Genomic DNA, 23,610 nt, shown 5'->3' with positions numbered 1-23,610 from the left:
TACAAAGTTACAGCTTTATGCAAACATCTGATTAGTTGCAAAAAGCAACCAATCAGAGGTACTTTCAATTTCCCTACTGCCATGCAGAAAAGGTGAGGGTTTGCAAAGGGTGTAGCCTCTGGTCCTTTTGTTACTTGGGTGGGGAAAATTAGCGTTTTCCTTTCAGTTTAGTTCTAGGAAGTCAGGGTGAATTGGCCTTAGGCCCTGCCTCCAGACCCTGTTCTCCTGCCTCACCACCTCTCTGATTCTCTTTTCTGTGGTCACATTTCTCTGGGGCTACAGCCAGGGAAGGTTTTCTGATTTCAGTGACCCATGCGATTAAATAATCCAGGAGAGCCTCCTCATCTCAAGGTCCTTAATCTAAGCACATCAGCAGAGTCCCTTTACCGCGTAAGTTCACATTCACAGGTTCTGGGGATTAGAATGTGGATATGGATGGAGGGCCATTATTATGCTGGCCACGGGAACTTGATCCAGGTGCAGTTAATGCTTGTCCTAAAACAGATGGATTTGAATTTATAAGCCTGCAGTGCTAGTCACAGCTCTAGTAACCAGTTGTACAACTTTTTCCTCTAAGCCTCAGATTCATCACCTGAGATCTTAGTTTTATCTTCTAATTATTAAACATATTAACCATAGCTATTGCAATTCAGGCTGTTGTATACAGCCTACGTTTCTCTTTCAGGAAATCCAGCCACTTCTGAGATTGCTGGGGGCTGATAGCTCTCAGCTGGGCCCTGCTCCAGGAATTGCCCTCAGCTGAACAGAGGCACTTTGCGCAAGGTCACACCCCTCCTCAGGAAAAGCCTGCATCCAGTGACTGACCCATGGGGGTAGGGGTTGGGTGGTATAAAACCCCGGCCATCTGGCCTTAACTCTGAAGGGCCGTCCGGCTCCAGAGCTCCCCATTGGATTGGCTGAGACCTCCATTGCAGATGTGATGCATTTCATCTTCTCCCTCAGCCCAGCCCTTCCTCCTTCACCCCAACATGGAATAGTTCCCAAGAGCACTCGCTAGTAAGTCTCCTTTAGATACCGTTAGAACTTTAGAGCTTGCTTCCCAGGGACCCTGTTTGAATCCTCGGTAGCCGTTTTTCTGTTGGTTGTTGTTTCTTTTGGTTTTTGATCATGTGGTTTTGTTTTATTGTATGACTGGCTATTTTAATTATTTATTCATTTTATTTTATTTTATTTTATTTTATTTAGACAGGGTCTTGTTCGGTCACCCAGGCTAGAGTGCAGTGGTTTGATCATGGCTTATGTAACCTCAAACTCCTGGGCTCGAGTGATCCTCCTGCCCCAGCCTCTTGAGCAGCTAAGTCAACAGGCACGAGCCACCATTCCCAGATGATTTTTACAATTTATTTTGCAGAGATAGAGTCTTGCTATATTGCCCAGATTGGTTGGCCAGAACTCCTGGCCTCAAGTGATCTTACTGCCTCAGGCTCCCAAAGTGCTGAGATTAGAGGTGTGAGCCACCATGCTTGGCCTTATGACTGGCTATTTTTGATTAAATGTTGAACATTTTTCAGTGTCAGATTTTAGACTTGGGATGTTATCTTCCTCCAGAGGACTGACTTCTGGCAGGAGGCTGGCTAGCCTAAGAGCACTGGCCTGCTCCAATCAGGATTGAGATGACTTGGAGCTTTAGCCTGTGCAGGTTGGTCTGATTCTCATTTGCCTTCACTCCTGGGCTGTACACCTGTGGGGTTAGTGCTTTACAGGCTCTTCTCCCAGGTGGGCCCTGTGCTTGGGTTTTTGTGCCCTGAGCTCCACGAGTCTGTCAAAGCTCTCGTCAGCATCAGCCTATCAGCCAGGCTTTCCAGACTGGCAGGTGCCTTTAGGTGAAGCGTGACCAGGTGCTGGGCTTCCCCCCTAGGCTTCCTCCTGTCCTGGATCTTGGCATTTCTTTGTTGCCTTGGTAGTTATCTGAGGCTGTGAAACAGATTCAGGTTATTCTTTTAGTTTTTCTAGTTGTTATCTGCAGAAGAGTTGGTTTAAACCCCCTACTCTGCTATTGCTGGAAGCTATTTTCTGCTGTATTGTTGAAGTATAATTTGTTTAACCAGTCTTTTACTGTTGAAATAATAGTTTTACTAAAAATTAATTTAAACATTGATGTGTAGATAATTTACATCTTTATTACTTAATTTTGTACCCATTTACAATGATTTCCATATGCAAATTTGAAGTGGAATTGTGTTGAAAGTGTGCAAAAGTCAAAGGCATTTAATACATATTTCTAAATTGCTTTCCAGACACTCTGTACTAATTTATACTTTATCAACAGTAGATGAGATAAACTGCCTTTTTAAATCTAACTTCATAATCTCTATTAAATCTAACTTCATAAATGTGCATGTGTTTTTCTTCCCTCCTGCAGGCACGTGCCTTAACACCTCAAACTGCAGAAACAGATGCCATTCGGTTTTTGGTTGGGACGCAGTCTCTTAAATATGATAATCAGGTAACTATTTTTGACAAATGTATACATGATAATTACTAAGCCTATTCTTAGTTTTATAACCATTTTGCTCTGATTTTCCAGCAACATTTGAGAAATTAATGCCACATAAACAAAATAAAACTTTCATTTGGATTTAAGTCTATCTTCAAATCAAAGAATATTATCCATCTATATGTATCGACTGTGTTCAGTAATTTAAACTTCCTCTGTTTGGCATGACTTCCGTAGTCTTGTTTGGCTCTTGTGGTTATATAGATTTGGCTTTATGAGCAATTGAGAAGCAAGGATATGTGGTCACCACTACCCCTTCTTCTTGGCCTGTGGATTCCTTCTTTAATTGCTCATAGAACTCTTTCTAGGTGAGTGTGGGGTGTGTCACAACCTCATCCCTACTTGACCCAGGCCACTTGATCTGTCACTGCCCCTTGATCCAGGTGGGGATACAGATGGGACCCTTTGGTGTTCTGGTCACTGTAGCGGACACTTAGGAGATCGGATTCGGTTCATGGCCTGGCAGTAACCACGTGACCTTGAGCACACGGATTCCCCTTGCTGGACTCCATTTTCTTATTGCTAAAGTGGAGATTAAAATGAGATGCCGTGGTGATTGCAAAGATGTGCATTGTCTTTGACACTGGGAAAATGTGCGGGAGGCCATGTCAGACATGGTCTAGGGCTTCTGTCCGGCTTATCTGATCACACAGGGGAAATGGCATTCAAATAGCTGTCGAAGAATACGCAGGCCTGGATAGGATGTAGTGAAACTGTCACTCTCGTATGTCGATAAAGATTTAAAGTCAGCATAGTCATTGGCAACTAGTTCAGTGATACATCCTTAGAGCTTCATAAATAAATGTTTATATACTTAATCTGTAATTCCTGTATCCCAAACCTAGGAAAAATCATTATACACGAAGAATATTAATTATAATGATACTTATAGTTATAAAAACTTACAAGCAATCAGAATATCAAAATGCGTGAATGTTAGGTTGAACAATATGAAATTGCCACTTGTAATGGCAGATTCATACACTTCCCTCAGGTTGAATCTGGTTACTCACAGTGAATAGTATTCCCTTATTACACTCATTAAAAGTTATAGACTCCTAAGAAACATGACAACTTAAGAATCGTTAGATGATTTGGTGGGATGTTAAAATTGTGCTTACAGTATGATCAACGTGGTGTAAAAAAGCAAAGTGCACAATTGAATCTCTTCTTAGAATAAAGACTGGAAGGAAATAGGCCAAAAAGGACTAAAAATTGAGCCAAGGGTTATCTTCAGATGCTTTTCACAGGGGATGTGTTCCAAGACCACCCAGCGGATGCCAGGAAACCTTGGTGAGTACTGAACCCTAAACATATCATGCTTTTTCCTATACTTACATATAGGTAAAGTTTAAGGTATAAGTTAGGCACAACAAAAGCTTAACAACATAACTAATAAAAACACAATGATTATTAGTTATGAAAGTTATATGAATATGGTCTCTGTCTGTCAGAACACCTTACTGTACTATACTCACCCTTCTTCTGGTTTTTGTTTTTTTGAGACAGAGTTTCACTCTGTTGCCCAGGCTAGAGTGCAATGGCACGATCTCAGCTCACTGCAACCTCCGCCTCCCAGGTTGAAGTGATTCTCCTGCCTCAGCCTCCTGAGTGGCTGGGATTACAGGCATGCACCACCACGCCCAGCTAATTTTTGTATTTTTAGTAGAGACGGGGTTTCACCACGTTGGCCAGGCTGGTCTCAAACTCCTGACCTCAGGTTATCTGCTGGCCTCAGCCTCCCAAAGTGTTGGGATTACAGGCGTGAGCCACTGCGCCCAGCCACTCATCCTTTTTCTTGAGAAGATGTGCAATAATATAAGGCCTGTGTGATGAGATGAAGTGAGGGGAATGACATAGGCATTGTGATGTAGCGTTAGGCTATTACTGACCTTCAGAGGATATGTCAACAGCAGGAGTATCTGTTTTGGGTGATCTGGATCATCAAGCCATAAGGTGTTGATGGTTGGATGTCAGGAACAGACAGTGTGGGTGGCTCAGGGGCAGGTAGCTTCTGTAGCATGGATATGCTGATCAAAGGTGTCGGGAACAGACAGTGTGGTTGGCTCAGGGGCAGGTAGCTTCTGTAGCATGGATATGCTGATCAAAGGTGTCGGGAACAGACAGTGTGGATGGCTCAGGGGCAGGTAGCTTCTGTAGCATGGATATGCTGATCAAAGGTGTCCGGAACAGACAGTGTGGGTGGCTCAGGGGCAGGTCGCTTCTGTAGCATGGATATGCTGATCAAAGGTGTCGGGAACAGACAGTATGGATGGCTCAGGGGCAGGTCGCTTCTGTAGCATGGATATGCTGATCAAAGGTGTCCGGAACAGACAGTGTGGGTGGCTCAGGGGCAGGTCGCTTCTGTAGCATGGATATGCTGATCAAAGGTGTCCGGAACAGACAGTGTGGGTGGCTCAGGGGCAGGTCGCTTCTGTAGCATGGATATGCTGATCAAAGGTGTCCGGAACAGACAGTGTGGGTGGCTCAGGGGCAGGTAGCTTCTGTAGCATGGATATGCTGATCAAAGGGATGACTCACGTTTCGGGTGGGATGGAGTGGGATGGCTCCAGACTTCACCACACTACTCAGAATGGTATGTGATTTAGACTTATGAATTGCTTATTTCTGGAATTTTTCATTTAATATTTTTGTGTTACACTTGACCACAGGTAACTGAAACCTGAGAAAGCAAAACCTCAAATTGGGATGAGGTGGGGGCAACATCTATTCAGGATGTAAAATTCTTTTCTTTCTAATGTTTTGTTTTCCGAATGTGTATGTATGTATGTGTGTTACTTTTCTACTGGAAAAAATATAAGAAGGGAATTACTTATTTATAAAAATAGTTACCAGTGGCCACCTGAAAAGGAAGGAGGACCCACCATGAAGATGGCCTGTGGTTTCAGGGATGGTGCCTACAGGGGAGTTGGGGAGTAAAACCCACATGGGAGATAGTGGCACAGAGATAGGATGGGAGGCACGCCAGTCTGCCTTCCAAATGCAGCTTCAGAAAGCAGAAGTCAGCAGAAACCCAGGAATTCAACACAAAATGGGGCCATGGAAAGCATGATAGTTATGAGTAAATTACTGTGTACCTGCTCTTAGCCAGAATGTAGTAATGGCATTTCCATTTGGTAATGACATTAATGAAGAACCATTGGTACCAAAGTTATCAAAATAGAAGAAATAAGAAGAGGCCAGGTGTGGTCGCTCACGCATGTAATCCCAGCACTTCAGGAGGCCAAGGCGGGTGGATCACTTGAGATGAAGAGTTCAAGACCAGCCTGGCCAACATGGTGAAACCCTGTCTCTACTAAAAATACAAAAATTAGCTGGGTGTGGTGGCACGCACCTGTAATCCCAGCTACTTGGAAGGCTGAGGCATGAGAATCACTTGACAACTGGGAAGATGGAGGTTGCAGTGAGCCGAGATCGCACCACTGCACTCCAGGCTGGGTGACAGAGCGAGACTCTGTCTAAAAAAAAAAAAATCGCCCAAAATGACAGAAAGTGTTTTAATCTACCTTAATTTGTTTTTTTTTTTTTTTTTGGAACGAAGTAACATTCAATTAATTATTTTAAAGAAGCTTTCCAGTTTTTCTGTCTCCTTTCTTCTAAATTGAAGAGTTCTGATAATTACTCAGATTAGTTTGCCAGGATCTTATTTTTTTGAGTCAACAGTATGTTTTATTACATACCTCATGTATTTCCACACTTGCCTGCAGTTGTCTGTGTGTGAATCCGTATGGTAGGTATGAAGCTGTGTTTTTGACTTGCTGGTTTTGTCTTTCTGTTTCTGGTAAAGGCATGTGACATTGTTGAGCTGTTCATTCATTCATCCACTCAACAAATGCTTACTTCATAGAATAACAGAACTCTTTAATTCCTCTTTTTTATGTGCTGGGTACACAAAACCTGAACAGATATTCGTGTCCTGAGTTCAGTGTTTAGTGAAATGGTGAAATGGACAAGCAGTTATTCATAGTACTATTAGTATTACCATCTGGTATATTTTGGCCCTGTGTCCATACCCAAATCTCATGTTAAATTGTAATCCCCAGTTTTGAGGGAGGGGCCTGGTTGGAGGTGATTGGATCATGGGCGTGGATTCCCCCCTTGATGTTCTCGTGACAGTGAGTGAGTTATCACAGGTCTGATTGTTTGAAAGGGTGTGGCACATCCCCCTTCATGCTCTCTCCTATTGCCATGTGAAGATGTGCCTGCTTCCCATTCACCCTTCTGCTGTGATAGTAAGTTGCCTTAGGCCTCTCCAGCCATGTCCCCTGTATAGCCTGTGGCACTGTGAGTCAATTAAACCTCTTTTCTTTATAAACTACCCAGTATCAGGTAGTTTTTTTTTTTTTTTTTTTTTTTTTTTGAGACAGAGTCTTACTCTCTCACCCAGGCTGGAGTGCAGTGGCGTGATCTCGGCTCACTGCAACCTCTGCCTCCCAGGTTCAAGCGATTCTCCTGCCTCAGACTCCCAAGCGATTACAGGCACAGGCCACCACGCCCAGCTAATTTTTATATTTTTAGTAGAGACAGGGTTTTGCCATGTTTACCAGGCTGGTCTCAAACTCCTGACTTCAGGTGATCTGCCCGCCTTGGCCTCCCAAAGTGCTGGGATTACAGGCGTGAGCCACCGTACCTGGCCTCAGGTAGTTCTTTATAGCAGTGTGAGAACAGACTAATACACCATCTCACAGTATTCTCTGTGTCCCCATCTTGCAGTGTGCTTTCTGGCCCTGTCTTGCAGCATCCTCCCTGTCCCCATCTCCCAGCATGCTCCCTGTCCCCATCTCACAGCGTCCTCCCTGTCCCCATCTCCCAGCATGCTCCCTGTCCCTGTCTCCCAGCATGCTCCCTGTCCCTGTCTCCCGGCGTCCTCCCTGTCCCCGTCTCCTGGCATGCTCCCTGTCCCTGTCCCTGTCTGGCAGCATCCTCCCTGTCCTGGTCTCCCAGCGTCCTCCTTATCCCCGTCTTGTGGTGGTATTGTGCAGTTCTTTGGCTGCTGTTTGCCCTGGGTCTGTTTGGAGCCTCCCTGGAGCTGGCTGTGTGGGCGGTGCTGGCACCGTGATCAGTAAAGCAGTCCCTGCGCTCACACTCTTCCCAGGGCTCACAGTTGGCTGAGGCTTGTGGAGTCGGGGAGGTGGGTGAGTGGCTGGAGGAGGCAGCTGGTACTGGAGCAGGGCCGGTTAGGGCTGGTTCCCACATGCTGCCTCAGTCAGCAGAACAGGTTTTCTGGTGAGGCAGGTGGCCCCACGCAGTGTGGAGCTGGTGCGTGGCAGAATCGGGACTGAAACCTGCATGTCTGCCTCTCTCTGCTCGCTTCCCTCTCCTTTGAATTTGCAGTTCAGCTCTGAGGCATGTGCCATGGGTATGCTCTTGCACCTGAAGTGTACACTTTTGTACAGACACACGTGGAAAGGGTGCACCCGTGCTGTTGCCATGCCGTGTCTCTGGGGTGAGATGTCCTGAAAATCAGGACAGCTCCATCCTGAACAGCCTGGGCCCCATGGTTCCGGCTGCGAGCAGCCCGCCTGTGCGCATGTGCACAGACCAGGAGAGACGCCGGGAAGGCTCCACTGGCTGTGGACTGCAGCCCTGCCCCTGCCTTCTGTGACAACGGAGTCTGGTCTCCTCCTGCACAGTCGGAAGCCGCCATCCCTCACTCTGGAGCTCCAGCTCTCCTGGGGAGTGGTGGCTGGGAAGGGTTAATAGCTCCTGGTGTTGCCTCAGGTCCTCGCTCCTTTCAGTCGTTGATTCCCTGGAAAATGCCCGGTACCTGCATCGTTACTGCATAATGCAGCTGCGCTATCTTTCTGAAAATGTGGGGACTGTCACAGTTGCTGACTTTCCTCTGAGGGATGAACTGATTTGTGTCTGTTTCCTCCTGTGGGACAGGACTCTGTCATAGCTCCCTGTGCTTAGGCGGGACAAGGATTTCTGGGGTCCTTGCTCGCTTTCTGGGGTTCTCCTTTGAGGAGGAGCTGGAGTTCTTCCTGGGGGGTGTGATCATGGCTTAGCATGGGCAGGGATGAGGAACCGCGACCTGAGGCCTGTAAGTGCTTCTGCATTTCCCACAGACTTTCCCTGTATATTGGTGCCCCCCTCTTTCTCATGTAGATAAGAGATGAGTCTTAATCTTCCTCTGGAGACCTCTGGGAGTGCCATGGTGACAGAGAGGACCGGCTTTGCCTCTTCTAACATGGAAGCATTGCCCCGGTGACCAGGGTCCTCGTCAGTGAAAAGACTGATGTCACAGAAGGGCAGCGACAGAGCAGCTCGTTTCCTCCCCTGGCTAACGTCTTAGTTTCTCAGCTAAGCTGCGCGGTTCTGCATCTGGTTCTGCATCTGTTTTGATTCGTGATAGCTTTGTTCCTGCAGCGCCTCTGATTGGTGACAACTTTGTTCCTGCAGCCCCCCCGCCTGCAAGTCCTGTTCTCACCTGTGCTCAGAATCACCAGGGTGCTTGGTCAACATTCAGATTCCCAGCCCCACTCTAGGCTAACTGAGCCTTGATTTCTTCCCCGCTGCTCCTGCTCTTTCCTCCCTCACCCTTCTCTCTTCCTTTAATGGTAAAAGGACCTAGTTGCCCACTGAAGCATCACAGGGTAGCCTGGCTTCCTTTCGATGAGGCCTGATCCAGAGGCTCCAGCCTGTCACTAAGCGTCCCTGACTCGCATTTCTGTTTCTTACTGTCTTCAGTGTGAACTTCATCTTCAGGGGTCCTGTATTTTTAGGGTACATCCCTAGATGGTCTGCCATACTTGGAAATTCTTTAATTGTTTTTTTCCAGCTTTCAAGTTCAGATCTAACATACAAAGTGCTCTCTGATATTCCCCTTTTCCCTCACTCTTGAAGAATCAGTTTGACCCTGTATCAGTCTGTTTTCATGCTGCTGATAAAGACATACCCGAGACGGGAAAGAAAAAGAGGTTTAATGGACTCACAGTTCCACATGGCTGGGGAGGCCTCACAATCATGGTGGAAGGCAAGGAGGAGCAAGTCACATCTTACGTGGATGGCGGCAGGCAAAGAGAGCTTGTGCAGGGAAACTCCACCTTATAAAACCATCAGATCTCATGAGACTTATTCACTATTAGGAGAACAGCATGGGAAAGAACTGCCCCCATGATTCGATTGTCTCCCACCAGGTTCGTCCCACAACACATGGGAATTCAAGATGAGATTTGGGTGGGGACATAGTCAAACCATATCACACCCTCAGGTCTGTTGGTGTATTAGGCCATTCTTGCATTGCTATGTAGAAATACCCGAGACTGGGTAATTCATGAAGAAAAGAGGTTTCATGGTTCTGCAGGCCATACAGGAAGCATGGCTCTGGCATCTGCTTCTGCGACGGCCTCAGGAAGCTTCCAGTCACGGTGGAAGGCGAAGTGGGAGCAGGCACATCACATGGCGAGGGCGGGAGCAAAGAGTGAGGGGGAGTGCCACATGCTTCAATGGCCAGATATCAGAAGAACTCGCTATCATGAAGACAGCACCCAGCCATGAGGCATCTGTCCCCAGGATCTAAACACCTCCTAACCAGGCCCTGCCTCCAGCACTGGGGATTACAATTCAACATGAGATTTCGAAAGGGACAAATTTCCAAACTATGTCAGGTGACATTCCTGCAAGTGTTCAGCTGGAAGGGCTCTTTGGGTTTGAGGAGAAATTTATGATTTTTGTCCAAGGTTTTTGAGTCCTGATCTCTCCTACAAACAGCTTCTATCGTCTTTTCTGTGAAGTCTTTCCTTTTCTGCCCCCTTTTCAATTCCTGAGCTGGAACTAATTGATGCCTTTTCTCTAGTCTTGTCTGTCTTTGTGTATGCATGCCTCTAAAATAAGTCTTCATGTTATAGGATTCCTGTTACTTCTATTGTGTATTTATTTTTCTCCAAATTCCTTGACACCTTGCGATCCCTGACACATATTGTGAGGCCAAGGACCATTCACTGCTGTGTCCTTTCGATGCCTGGTGCTGAGCAGGTTGTTGGATGGATGTATTTTAAGGAAAGTCACAAACTTTTGTAAGAATTAGTTCTACTGCAGCAAATATACTCACTTTTCACAAGTAAACCTTGTGATGTTCTATTGGGCATCTATTACATTTTCAGACAAACATTGGCTTTCTGTCTAGAGAAGTCACGCTATCCAGAAACCCCATGCCTGGCCATCCACTTCCGGGATTTTGCTGCAAATTCCATCAGATTCCCTGGTGTCCATATCAACGAGCATTGGGTCAAAACCCACAGCCAGTTTCGTCTATCCCACCAGAGTCACAAGGAGTCAATGCCCAGAATCTCCCATGGGCCCTGCTGCCGCCCTTGGGCCAGCTCCCGAGTGGTGGCCCTCCCGCATGGGCCTATGCTCGGTTTGTGGGGTGTAGGGGGTGGGCAGGGTGTCTGTCACTACTTCGGATGAACAAAACATGCTGGGAGAAGTGGTGTGGACTCTGGATCATAGGGTTTCCCCAGTCATCTGTTTCATAAGGGTTTCCTTAACGCATTTCTCTGGCACGGTGGTGGTGGTGGTGGTGGTTTTCACTGGACTTCTGTACCAAGAGCAAGTCATATGTGTGCACCAGTATAAACCAAGAGAAAGATTAACATGGTGCCCTATTTCCCTCTTCTGTGTGCACCAAGCTAGATCTAGGGAAAGATAAGCGTGGTGCCCCGGGGCCGCATTCCCTTCCTACATGTGCATCCGTGTAAAGAGAAACAGAAGTGTAGTGCCACGGTGCCACCTCCCACTGTGCACTTTCTTTTTTATTTTCTTCTGTGAATTGTACCCCACTTTGCTTTCTGAGAATTTTGGTCTCACTATATATATACATATTTTTCTTACTTTTTCTTTTTTTTTTTCCAGACAGAGTCTCGCTCTATTGCCTAGGCTGGAGTGCCGTGGTGTGACCTCAGCTTACTAAAACCTCTGCCTCCCAGTTTCAAGTGATTCTCCTGCCTCGGCCTCCTGAATAGCGGGGATCACAGGCGTGCACCACCATGCCCGGCTAATTTTTATATTTTTAGTAGAGACGGGGTTTCACCGTGTTGGCCAGGCTAGTCTTGAACTCCTGACCTCAGGTGATCCACCCACCTCACCATCTCAGGTGATCCACAGTCCCAAAGTGCTGGGGTTATAGGTGTGAGCCACTGCACCTGGCCTGGTCTCAATATATTGATTATGCCCCAATAATTTTTTTTTTATAGAGTTCTACTTGTATCTTTCTGATTTTTAGAGTGAGAGGCAGCTCCCCACTGGAAGGAAGAGCCGGTACTTCAGCCCCGTTCTCTGCTACCAGAAGCAGCTGGTGGCATTCCAGTGACCCAGTTAGGTTCCAGCCTCCCCCGCAGCCCTTGACCACGCACTGCACAGGCTGTGTCACTTTCTGCACAGTTCTGAGCAACGTGCTTCTGGGGCACAGGGAGCTTCTGGAATGTGGAGTCTTTTTTCTCTCCCACTGCCGAGTGTACTGTTTGGGCTTCATGGGCAAGGGCTATTAATACCCTATGCTTTAATTGCCTAAGAGAGAAGTATTAATATGTTTAGGGAAATGCTGGTTATTGTATGGGGCTCATAAGCACTGGAAAAAGAGTTATTAAGTATGTTAGATTTTCCAGTGCTTATGGGCCTGGCCTGGCCAATATGATGAAACCCTGTCTCTACTAAAAATACAAAAATTAGCTGGGCGTGGTGGTGCCTGCCTGTAGTTGCAACTACTCAGGAGGCTGAGGCAGGAGAATCATTTGAACTGGGGAGGTGGAGGTTGCAGTGAGCCGAGATCGCACCACTGGACTCCAGCCTGGGAGACAGAGTAAGACTCTGTCTCAAAAAAAAAAAAAAAAAAAAAAAAAAGAACCAGAACCAGTATATGTTTCTATTAGAACAAAGGGATCTTAGAGATGTAGTTTCCTAAATGTACAAATGCTGAGAGGGGCCCAGATATACAAAGAGCCCAGAAAGGGTTAGTGACTTGCCCAGGGTCACACAGCCAGGAATGGCAGAATCCAAATGAGAAACCAGGTCTCTTGATTGGCAGGTCACGTTCATGTCAGCACTGAGCTGAAGCGTGAAGCCGACTAGAGTAGAAACTGTGTTTTCAGAGTCACATGCTGTAACCAGGGGTAAAGAAAAGCAGCGATATGGGCCCATGGCTTGTTCTGTCCAGGATCTGGTCACAGGCAGTATTCAGTATTCTGCATAACTCTTAAGGAATTGCCATTGGGCAGGTGGGTTTTAGTCATGGATGACGTGGCAGGGACGGTGTCTCCTGTCATCTGCCTGGTGGCCGTCAGGGTGAGAGCTGGGGGGTTTGCCATCAGCGGCCGAGGGAATCTCCTGCCTCTGGGGAAGCCATTGGATCATTCACTTTCCCTAGGCGGGTGCCTCTTGATTTTTTAATATCCAGTCTTATTTATATGTGGTATTTTTTGTTTTTATTTTTTTCTGTAGAGATGGGATCTTGCCATGTTGCCCAGGCTTGTCTTGACCTCCTGGGCTCAAGCCATCCTCCTCCTGCCTCAGCGCTGCAAAGTGCTGGGATCACAAGTGTGAGCCACCGTGCCTGGCCCTTTTTTTGTTTTTTCAATTCTCAAGAGTTTTTAAACTTTCAGTTTAGAAGCGCAGATGAAATGGACAGTGCGATGGCCTCAGCTCTGTACTCAGCAGCCTGGCCCTGCAGCTCTGTACTCGGTGGCCCGGCCCCACAGCTCTGTACTCGGCAGCCTGGCCCTGGGCTGTGGCCACACAGCATTTCTCTCCAAGCCCCGATTCTTGCAGAAAAGGAGGGAGAGGTGATTAAGTTCATCTTCATGGACTTCCTAATACATTTTTATAACTCTTTATTCTAAATCTTTACAGTGTCACCTATAGCCTTAGCCCAGCACTGGTAAAATCAACTTTAAAAATTTTAATGATGATTCAAAATACATGAGTTTGATCTTTATCATAAACGATTAACACATTAAAAAATCCAATGTGGCTTGAAAAGTTTAAAGTAACATTTAAGTACTGCTCACAGGGCGACCGCCTTTGCAGACCTGCCTAGCTGGTGTTAATGGGTCTTTCTTTTGGGCCCTGGTAATCTTTTGCACTCACCTTAGTTACGGTGTTTCTTTCTCGCATTGCTTGTTTTCGGAGCCGGCCTGTACCTGCGTATGTTTATTCAACAAAACAGTTGTTTATACTTTCAGGTGAGCTGGGTGTAGGGTGGTGCCCTGAGAACAGAGAGTTGAGGTACTGGTTCTTCCCTCCAGCTGGGAGCTGCCTCTCACTCTGGCTTGCTGCCGCCCTGCAGAGTGCATCCACAGGGCAGGTGGCGGGGCGGCAGAGCTCGCATGCCAGGACCAGGGGCTCCTGTAGGCCTGGCTGTGCCGTGTCTAACTGGAGGAGCCCAGGCCCTCCACTCTTCAAGCCTCGATCTTTTCACCTGTAGATTGTGATTAATAGTAATATATTATAGGGCTGTTTTAAGGATTAAGGCACTCAAGTGTATAAAATACTTCACATAGTGCCTGGTGCAATATAAATTTCAGCCATTACTTTATTTTGCTCATGGTGGTTGATGGCATCCTGTTTGAACAGCCCCGAGTTAAAACAGTTCATGAAGATGTGTACTTGCACTACTCTATGAATCAACCATAAAATAAGGATATGTGGGAAAATCTCAAGACTCATCAGGCTTAGCAATGAAGGTTAAAGACCATTTCTATTGCAGTGTACCAGATTAGGAGACATGGGCTTGGGAGGAACATGGATCCCCCCTCTGCCCTGTGCGTGCTCGCTGGCTGGAAGAGGTGAACCTAGAGGAGATGCGTGCATCCAGGAGCTGAGTCCCATTGGAAAGCTGTGCCTTGTGTCTTCACAAGAAGGAAAACAGCTTTATGGGAAGAAAGGCGGGCCCAGGTGGAGGCAGGAGACTGGGAGAGAGGGTCTGCTGAGACCTGCAGCCAGGCCGAGGGGCCAGCTTGGGGGCCACGCTGCACTGTCCTGAAGAGCCCAGAAAGCCCCCGGCTGCGCCTGCTGCCCTGGTTCATTTCAGGGGAGCAGATTTGCAAAGTAGTACATTTAAGCGCATCCCTGTTTTCAGTGCTAATGGATTTCCTGATAAGTAGGAAATGTGAAAAATACTGAGGAACAAAAATTCCCTAGCAACACAAAAATTACTTCTAATTTGCTATATCACCTTGTGGTCTGTGTTCCTGTGTGATGGTATTATATAATCACATGCCATTTTATAGCCTGCTTTTAAAATGTAATTCTCTTGTAACATTTTTGGTATTAATAATTGCTCTTAATCATAACTTTTAAAGCTATGTAACATTTCATAATACACTTTTTTTGTTCATTTATTCTTTGGGGCAGATTTCACAAAATCAAATTATTGTTTCAGTTTCAACATTTATGTAGTTCTTATTTACATATTATAACAAACATAAAAGAATTGGACAAGTTATAATCCGGATCAATTCTATCATAGAATTCCCTGTATTGGTTGCCATCACTTAGAAAAAGTTGGCTAATATAATAAATATTAATTAGTATGATGAAATTCTCATTTTTAAATTTTTGAGTCATTGGTTATAATAAAGAATAAATTTTCTTCATGTATTTGTTACTAGTTTTTATTCTAATGCGTTTCTGCCTGTAAGATATAACTATAACTTAACATGCATCCAAGTGCACGCATCCAGAATGTGCTACTGGGGACATCTTTACACATGCATTCACTGGTTCCCCACGCCCACGTACCCCCCACACACCCATACCCATGATGCACCCACACCCTCCCACACACCTCCCACACGCCTGCACCTGCCTCACACCCACACATACATGCACATTCACACCCATGTACACCCACCATAGCCATGTACCCACAGACCCTCACACACACCCTTACATACACACCTGCACCTGCCTCACACTCACACCCCCTCCACACACAGCTGCACCTCCCCCACACCCACACCCGCACACATACATGCATAGACCACGTACCCATGCTCCCACACACGCACTCCCACGCACATACACGCATAGTGTACCCATGCTCCCACACACAGGTGCACACCTGCATGCACACATGCCCACACCCACGTGCACCCGTGTCACTGCCATGAAGGACACCCCAGCAGACCCCTCAGATTCCTGGAGTCTGAGCCAACTCCAGGCCTGCGGTGAATGGTCTCTGTCGTTACCTCAGTTGGTTTTGCCTGAGGTAATCGCACAAGGTGCTCCTTCTCGTGTCTGATTTTTCTCACTCAGCATTGTCTGTGCGTGTGTTGTTGTTACTTGTCATTACTGTGAGAATTGCATTTGTGAATATACCACAACTGATTTACCCATTCTATTGTGGAGTTTTGTTTTGTTTTTTTTTTTTTTTTTTTTTTTTTGAGACAGGATCTCACTCTGTCACCCAGGCTGGAGTGCAGTGGCGTGATCTCGGCTCACTGCACCTCCCCCTCCAGGCTTCAAGTGATTCTCCTGCCTCAGTCCCCCAAGTAGTTGAGATTATAGATGACTGCCACTACGCCCGGCTAATTTTTATATTTTTAGTAGAGATGGGGTTTCACCATATTGTCCAGGCTGGTCTTCAACTCCTGACCTCAGGTGATCTACCCATCTTGGCTTCCCAAAGTGCTGGGATTACAGATGTCAGCCACCGCGCCTGGCCTACCCATTCTATTGTTGATGGACATCTGAGCTGTTTGCTGCTTTGGCTATCATAAATATATCTGCCGTGAAAATTCTTGCACTTGCCTTTTCTTTGGTGTTTGTAGGGTCTATCCCTAATTGTAGAGATGTGGCGTCATGGGACACATGTGTTTCTGCCAAATGTTTTTCTCAATATCACTAAGTAATCATTTAATAACTAATAATATATTATAAAATGTGTAACAGGTCCACAGAGGAAAAAACTGTTCATAAGTAAACTTTCCTTGGGTGTGGAAAGGAAAAAGAGTACAATAAATTTTCACTTATAAAAACAAGTGCTGTGTTCATTTCTCTGGTTCTTAGATGTGTGATTTGTAATTGGAAGCTGTTCACTGGGAATGTTTCTGAACCTGCTGTGGAAACTTCAGTTCCCCGAATGGAGAGGGCGGGCGCGCATGCTCCCTGGGCTCCTGCTCTGCCTCGGGCAAGCCGGCCATATCTGGCTTCTCCTTGGCCCCAGGACCCGGTGCTGGCGGCCCGCTCTACTCCTGGGAGATTGTGGTTCAGCTCACATGGCTCTGGGCACTGGCTGGGTATGAATTCCACTCTGAGCAAGTCCAGAATGACTCCCTGGGGTGACCTTGTATTAGTTCGTTCTCATATTGCTATTAAGAAATAGCTGATACTGGGTCATTGATAAAGAACAGAGGTTTTATTGGCTCACATTTCTGGAGCTGTTCAGGAAACATAGCAGCATCTGCTTCTGGAGAGGCCTCAGGAAACTTCCAATCATGGCGGAAGGCGAAAGGGGAGCAGCCGCCTCACATGGCCGAAGCAGGAGCTAGGAGAGGGAAGATGCCACTCAAAGTTTTTTTGTTGTTGTTGAGACGGAGTCTCGCTCTGTCGCCCAGGCTGGAGTGCGGTGGCGCCATCTCGGCTCACTGCAGGCTCCGCCTCCCGGGTTCACGCCATTCTCCTGCCTCAGCCTCCCGAGTAGCTGGGACTACAGGTGCCCGCCACCACGCCCGGCTAATTTTTTGTATTTTTAGTAGAGACGGGGTTTCACTGTGGTGGTCAGGCTGGTCTCAAATTCCTGACCTCAGGTGATCCGCCCGCCTCGGCCTCCCAAAGTGCTACAATTACAGGCGTGAGCCACCGCGCCCAGCCCATGCCACTCACTTTTAAATGACCAGGTCTCAGGAGAATTCACTGTCGTGAGGATGGCACCAGGTGGGGATGGTGCTAACCCATTCCTGAAGGCCCATCCCCCATGATCCAGTCACCTCCCGCCAGGCCTCACGTCCGACACTGGGATTACAATTTGACGTGAGGTTTGGACGGGACACAGATCCAAGCCCTATCAGACCCTGAGAGGAGCAGTTGGAAATAATGAAAGGGCCATCTGAGGCCTGGGTGATGTGTAGGTGCTACTGGGTATCGTGGAGACAGTTTAAAAATAGCATTTAATGTTAGATTGCAAACGTATTGCAGAGTGCGCCAGGCACAGTCAGTCCCAGACCTAGTTAGGCAAAAAATGTTAAAAGTGCAAATAAAGCACAAAGAAGTAAAGGAAAACCACCTATAATTCCACCATCCAGACACCACTCAGGTACCTACCTGCTGGTTCTCATTTGGACACGCGTACATTTTTAAAACAAAACAAAACAAAAGGATGTAGCATTCGTACAGTTTCTTTTGTGTATTCTCTTCTAAAACATATATTACATCGTTCCATGCCACTGAGTAGTCTACAGTACACCAAATGGCGTCACAATATTACCATCAAATACTGCAATTTATTTGAACAGTTTCCTATTACTAAACATTTAGGTGACTTCTAATTTTTTTTATTTCAATAATCAATGCCATAGTAAACGTACTTGGATATAAATCTTTTGTGTAGACCCATGAATATTTTCTTAGTACAAATTTACTTTTAAAAGAGGAATTATGTTTTCTCATTGACTTGGGTATTGGTAAGAAATTAAATGTGAAATCATTTTAATTCCTCTAAAAGTTATCCTGGAAAGCATGGAGATAGTATATTTAACTTTCTTATAGAGTGGCTAAAATGTTATCCTATTTAATATCATAAGATAATAGACACCAACGGCTGTTGGACTTGTTTTTGAAAAGAGGATAACAGTGTGTGAATATACAGCCCTTTCTCACTCTCTCCCACCTTAATCATGTCTGAAGTATGAGTCGAGTTCTGCCCACTATAGACAGAGTGGGCCAGGCGTGGTCAGTCCCAGACCTAATTAGGCAGTCGTGCCCTGCTGCGCCTGCCCTCCCCAGCAGCTGTGCAGCAGGCTGGGAGGACCTTGCTGATATGGACAGCCCTGGGCAGCTCTGGCCGTGACACCAACAGTGGCTCGGTCTAAGAGCCACTTGAGGACACAGCGTTTGGTGCCTTATTTCTTTAAGACTGGATATGACCGGATGGCAGTCTTACGTAGCTTGCAATCTTAGAAATGCTCCACAGGGATTTTCTAACTTGTCTTTGGAGAGGAGTCCAGTAAGAATTAAATTATAGAAGCACATACTGTTGGCATAATAACAATTAACTAAAGATGTATCTGTCACGAAATGTGCATGTGACTATTCTTTGTAATCATGATGTCTGATGAAGGTACTGAGGAAAGTGTTTGAGATCCTGATGTGCTCTTTTCTTGTATTTGTAGATCCATATCATAGATTTTGACGATGAAAACAACATTATAAATAAAAATGTCCTCCTCCATCAAGCGGGTGAAATCTGGCATATTAGCGCTAGCCCTGCAGACAGAGGTGTGCTGACGACCTGCTACAACAGAAGTAAGTGCGGCTTTTCTAAGGTACTTGCTAACTGGAGGTAACTGGAGGTATTTCCTAAGACGGGTTTTGTATTGCTAATGGGTCGACACATGACTGAAAAGATTTAGCCATTAATGAAGGTGTTGCATGCACAGAGAAGCCATGATATTGTGAGTAGATGTTTGCAGAAATTATTAGAATCTTGAGATTCTAAGAACTGAAGCTGGAATCAGCTGTTCTGAGAACGTTGACCCCTTGATCAGGGGAGTACAGTGCTGGAGTTTCCGGTGAGGCAGACACAAGTGTCCTGATGTGGAAACTGTACGTTGTGGGGAGCAGCAGGGATTCATCTCTTTCCTGTAGTGTCTTGGTGACTGTCTTCCAGTGCTCTTTGGTAAGAGCAGTTCCATGCACACACGCGCGTTGACTGGTGATATGCCTCATAGGCTTCTTCCTGCCCGCCGTTGTGCTCTCTAGGCTCTTGGAGCTCTGGGACCTTAGTTTGTGTCAATGCAGATGTCTGAGTTGCTGAACTGAGCCTTCCTCTTCCCCAGTTCTCCTTGTTTGGTCATCGTCAATGAGTACTTTCTAAATTCTGGCTCTATGGAGAAATATCTCCTAGGATCTCTTTCTCTACCATGTAAGCCAGAACAAATTCTTTGTGGTTTTTGATATATAGTTTCTAAAATGTTGCCTTCATTTGTCCCACAGGCTGAATGACTTTTTAGGTACTTTTAATGCATTCTGTCTGATCTTCTCTCTCATACCCTGGCTTCAGAATATTGATGTGTAGGGATTGCATGGCTCATATATCAAGCTGGTCACCAGGACATCCCGATCTAATATTCCACTTTCACCGGGTTCTGTGTGTGTTTCCCTTCCCTTTTCCCTTCCCTTCCCTGTTCCCTTCCCTTTTCCCTTTTCCCATCTCTTTCCCTTTTCCCTTCCCTTTTCTCTTCCCTTCCCCCTTCCCTTCTTTTTACCCTTTTCCCTTCTCTTTTCTTTTCCCTTCCCTTTTCCCTTTTCCCTTCCCTTTCCCTTCCTTCTTCCTTTCCCTTCCCTTTTCCCTTCCTTTCCCTTTTCTCTTCCCTTCCCTTCCCTTTTCCCTTCCCTTCCCTTTTCCCTTCCCTTCCCTTTTCCCTTCCCTTCCCTTTTCCCTTCCCTTCCCTTTTCCCTTCCCTTCCCTTTTCCCTTCCTTTCCCTTCCCTTCCCTTTTCTTTTCTTTTCCTTTTCTTTTCTTTTCCTTTCCTTTTCTTTTCCTTTTCTTTTCTTGACAGAGTCTCACTCTGTCGCCCAGGCTGGAGTGCAGTGGTGCAATCTGGGCTCACTGCAACCTCTGCCTCCCAGGTTCAAGCAATTCTCCTGCCTCAGCCTCCCGAGTAGCTGGGATTACAGGTGCACATCACCATGCCCTGCTAATTTTTATATTTTTAGCAGAGATGGGGTTTCACCATGTTGGCCAGGCTGGTCTCGAACTTTTGACCTCAGGTGATCCGCCTGCCTTGGCCTCCCAAAGTGCTAGGATTACAGACGTGAGCCACTGCGCCCGGCCCTTCTTCCACTTTAACTTCACAGCTGCCCCATGTCCTCCTCTGAGGGCCCTGCCTTCCACATGGAGGGCAGCATGGCATGTGGCTGAGTGTGGCTATGCACCTCCTGCCAGCGGGAGGTTGGGGGTCCGAGAGCCTCCTTGTGTTTTGTCTGCTCTCTGTGCCGATTGGTCCAAGCTGACAGTGTCTCAGCAGAAACACATTTCTCAAGAATCTGTGGGTCTTCAGTAGATTTCCTGAGGCTTCACTTCCTCAGACAAGAGCATAACTGCAGATCTTTTAGAGACGATCTCTTCTCTGCCTTGGTCTCCTGCTAAGATGGCCAAGGGACTGCCCCCTTCATCCTTGACCCTTCACCCTCCCCTTCACCCTTCACTCTCTTCTGCCTGAGGATCTGTGAGGTGCTTCCTTGGCTTCTTGAGAGGCCCTTCCTAGGCCTGCACTCTGACTTCCTGATCTTCCCGAGGCTTTAACCACATGCAGTGTGGCCCGTCCTCGGCCTTTTCTTAGGGGCACACTCTCCTGACAGTCGGGGTATTAGTCCATTCTCGCACTGCTGTGAAGAACTACCTGGGACTGGGTAATTTATGAAGAGGTTTAATGGACTCACAGTTCTGCGGGCTTAACAGGAAGCATGACTGGGCGGCCTCAGGAAACGCACAATCACAGTGGGGGGTGACGGAAGCCAGGGCCTTCTTCACAAGGCAGCAGGAGAGAGAGAGCAAAGTGGGAAGAGCCACACACCTTCAAACAACCAGATCTTACTGTCACAAGAACAGCAAGGGGGAAATCCACCCTGTGATCCAGTCATCTCCCACCAGGTTCCTCCCTGGACATGTGGGGATTACAATTCGAGATGAGATTTGGGTGGGGACACAGACCCAAACCACATCAGTTAGGCTTTTCATCTCAGCACCTTTTGCCGGCTGGAGACGCTGTGCTTGTTGTTACTCCACCATCGTATAACTCTTCCCCGTTTGCCCTCTCCTCCACCCTTGCCCTGTCCCCCCACCAGGAAACCCCCCTCGTGCAGGACCAGCCTCAGCACAACAGGAGCTGCCTCCATGGTCCTGCAGGGCATGGCCTTTCTGCACCCTGGATATTCCAGGCAAGCTCTGCTTTTTCTGTGGCTCCTCAAAAGCCTCCCAGCCTCTACCCACTGCCAAAATCCAGAGCTCCTCCCGCATTTCAGGCAGTTGTTACTGCGGCCCCGGCTTCCATAGTCATTATACACTGCAGAGGAATTCCCACAAACAGCGGCTTCCAACAGCGCATGCCTCTTCAACAGTGTGTACTGGCTGTAGCTTCGTAGCGCACTGGCCTGGGGTCTCCAGGCCCCCACCAGGCTGTGTCAGGGCTCTCGCCTCATGTGGCTCCTGGGGTTGTAGGATGCAGGCTTGTTTCCTGGCTGTCCGCTGGGACCACCCTCAGCTGCTCCCAGCTGTAAGTGGGCTTTGAGTTAAGCTGCCAAGTTTGTGGCAATTTGTAGAAGCAACAGAAAACTAAAACAATTGCCAAGCACTCTTGGTCTTGTTGGTCGTCCACAGGTGTAAGTTGATTGTGTCCTTCAAGTTACCCTGGATCTCGTGATTTCCAGTCGTGGCTTCCAGAGACTGACTCTTTCTGCCAGACTTTGAAGGCAGCATAGATCTTCTGTTAAGTATTTCCCTAATCTGTCAGCCTCTCAAGGAAGAAAGACGAAATTGTTCCACAACATTCATGTCTAAGTTCCAAGAATTCTATTTTATTCCTGCCATAGCAGAACTGAGATTTACATCCCACAGGGAAGGCTGTTTTCCAGTGTGAAATGCTGCAAGTTCCTGCTCTGATCAGGAAAGAGCAGCACAGCTGCTTGACTCGTGCTTAACCTGGCTCTTCGCCCTTCGAAGCACACACGGCGCCACGTCTCATCTGAATCAGGTCATCTGCAGCAGTGGTCGCACCCGTGGGGCAAGGCGCCAGGCCCTCCTGCTTCAGGTGCCTCCGGAAAAGCCTGGAGTCACAGACCTAAGCTTGCTGTGCATAACGCAGGGCAGGGAAAACATTCTAGAGACTTCATGTGTTTTGCAAACATACTTGTGCTCTGTAGTTTTTGCCCTTAGCTCACCTGTAAATCACTAGGCTTCCACATTGCCATGAATCATATATGAATTAAATCCAGAAGCACCACAGACTTAGATTAGACGGCATTGCTTAAATCATCACTTCGTTATAACAAATCTCTTTGTAAAGATCAGAGTTGCAATTTATCCTCTTTGTCTTCCAGTAGTGTTTTCTCCTATTGTGCTTTTACCCTGCCGGTGCCTGGGCTGGTGGGAGGCATCTTGCGGCGTTTCCTGTGTGTGTGCCGTTTGTTAGGGGTGCTTATAGAGAAGCTCCTGTTGTCTGCTGTACTTGGAGACCCACGTGTGTTTTCTTTGTTGTTGCTCTTTTGTAGCCCCTTCCTTCTTTTTGTTTCCATTAGTTTGTGTGATATTTTGGTGAACGGTGGCATCTTTTAATGAAGAGGCTGAGGGCTTCTGAGACACACCTTTCGGCGCACACCCTGCGTGGGGCAGCCAGTGTGGACAGTAGAACCGCACGTGGAGAGGGCAGGCCGATCACAGGGCCAGCTGGCGTGAGTTGTTAGGAGCACCCTCCTTCCGAAAGACAGTTGCCCTCTTCTAAAGCTGCTTTCCGTGTCTTTCTTCACAGATGTCCTAAAATCCTTTTTCATGATTTTTTTTTTTTTTTTTTTTGGAGGTAGGGTCTTGCTCTTGGCTCTTGTCACCCAGTCTGGAGTGCAGTGGCACAATCTTGGCTCACTGCAACCTCCACCTCCCAGGCTCAAGCAATCCTCCCATCTCAGTCTCTCAACTAGCTGGGACCACAGGTATGCACTACCATATCTGGCTGATTTTTAAAAAAATTTCTAGTAGAGATGAGGTCTCACTGTGTTGCCAGGCTGGTCTTGAACTCCTGAGCTCAAATGATCTACCCGCTTCACCCTCCCAAAGCACTGGGATTACAGCTGTGAGCCACCACACCTGGCCTTCCATGGATCTTATCTTATGGGGAGGAAAGGAGACGCAGCCATGGAGA

At 47.0% G+C, this 23,610-nt stretch overlaps 1 protein-coding gene across 5 annotated transcripts in view, besides 1 other annotated feature; it reads left to right on the top strand.

The window, feature by feature from the left end:
* Nucleotides 1-23,610, top strand: part of EIPR1 (EARP complex and GARP complex interacting protein 1) — a 188,849-nt gene that overhangs the window by 20,802 nt on the left and 144,437 nt on the right. For 3 of the 5 annotated variants that reach the window (NM_001330531.3, NM_003310.5, NM_001330530.3), the window contains exons 2-3: nt 2,384-2,467; nt 18,868-19,000. Coding sequence is in view for 4 of the 5 variants with exons in the window: in NM_003310.5 (NP_003301.1) it covers nt 2,384-2,467; nt 18,868-19,000 (217 nt within the window). In the remaining variant the exon portion in view is untranslated. Of the gene's footprint in view, nt 1-78; nt 391-2,383; nt 2,468-18,867; nt 19,001-23,610 lie in introns of those variants that run through there. The other 2 variants (XM_011510383.4, XM_011510385.3) reach the window with 2 other exon arrangements.
* Nucleotides 1,806-1,979: a silencer, noted in NCBI's record as "fragment chr2:3358809-3358982 (GRCh37/hg19 assembly coordinates)". NCBI's record gives its function as "represses an EF-1alpha promoter that drives an FKBP-Casp9 reporter gene in an ReSE screen in K562 erythroleukemia cells {active_cell/tissue: K562}" and the evidence as "EXISTENCE:reporter gene assay evidence [ECO:0000049][PMID:32094911]".

The sequence above is a fragment of the Homo sapiens genome, chromosome 2 (genome assembly GCF_000001405.40).
Source record: "Homo sapiens chromosome 2, GRCh38.p14 Primary Assembly".
Taxonomy (NCBI): domain Eukaryota; kingdom Metazoa; phylum Chordata; class Mammalia; order Primates; family Hominidae; genus Homo; species Homo sapiens.
The sequence above is the reverse complement of the archived record's forward strand: the minus strand, read 5'-3'. Positions and strand labels throughout refer to the sequence as shown.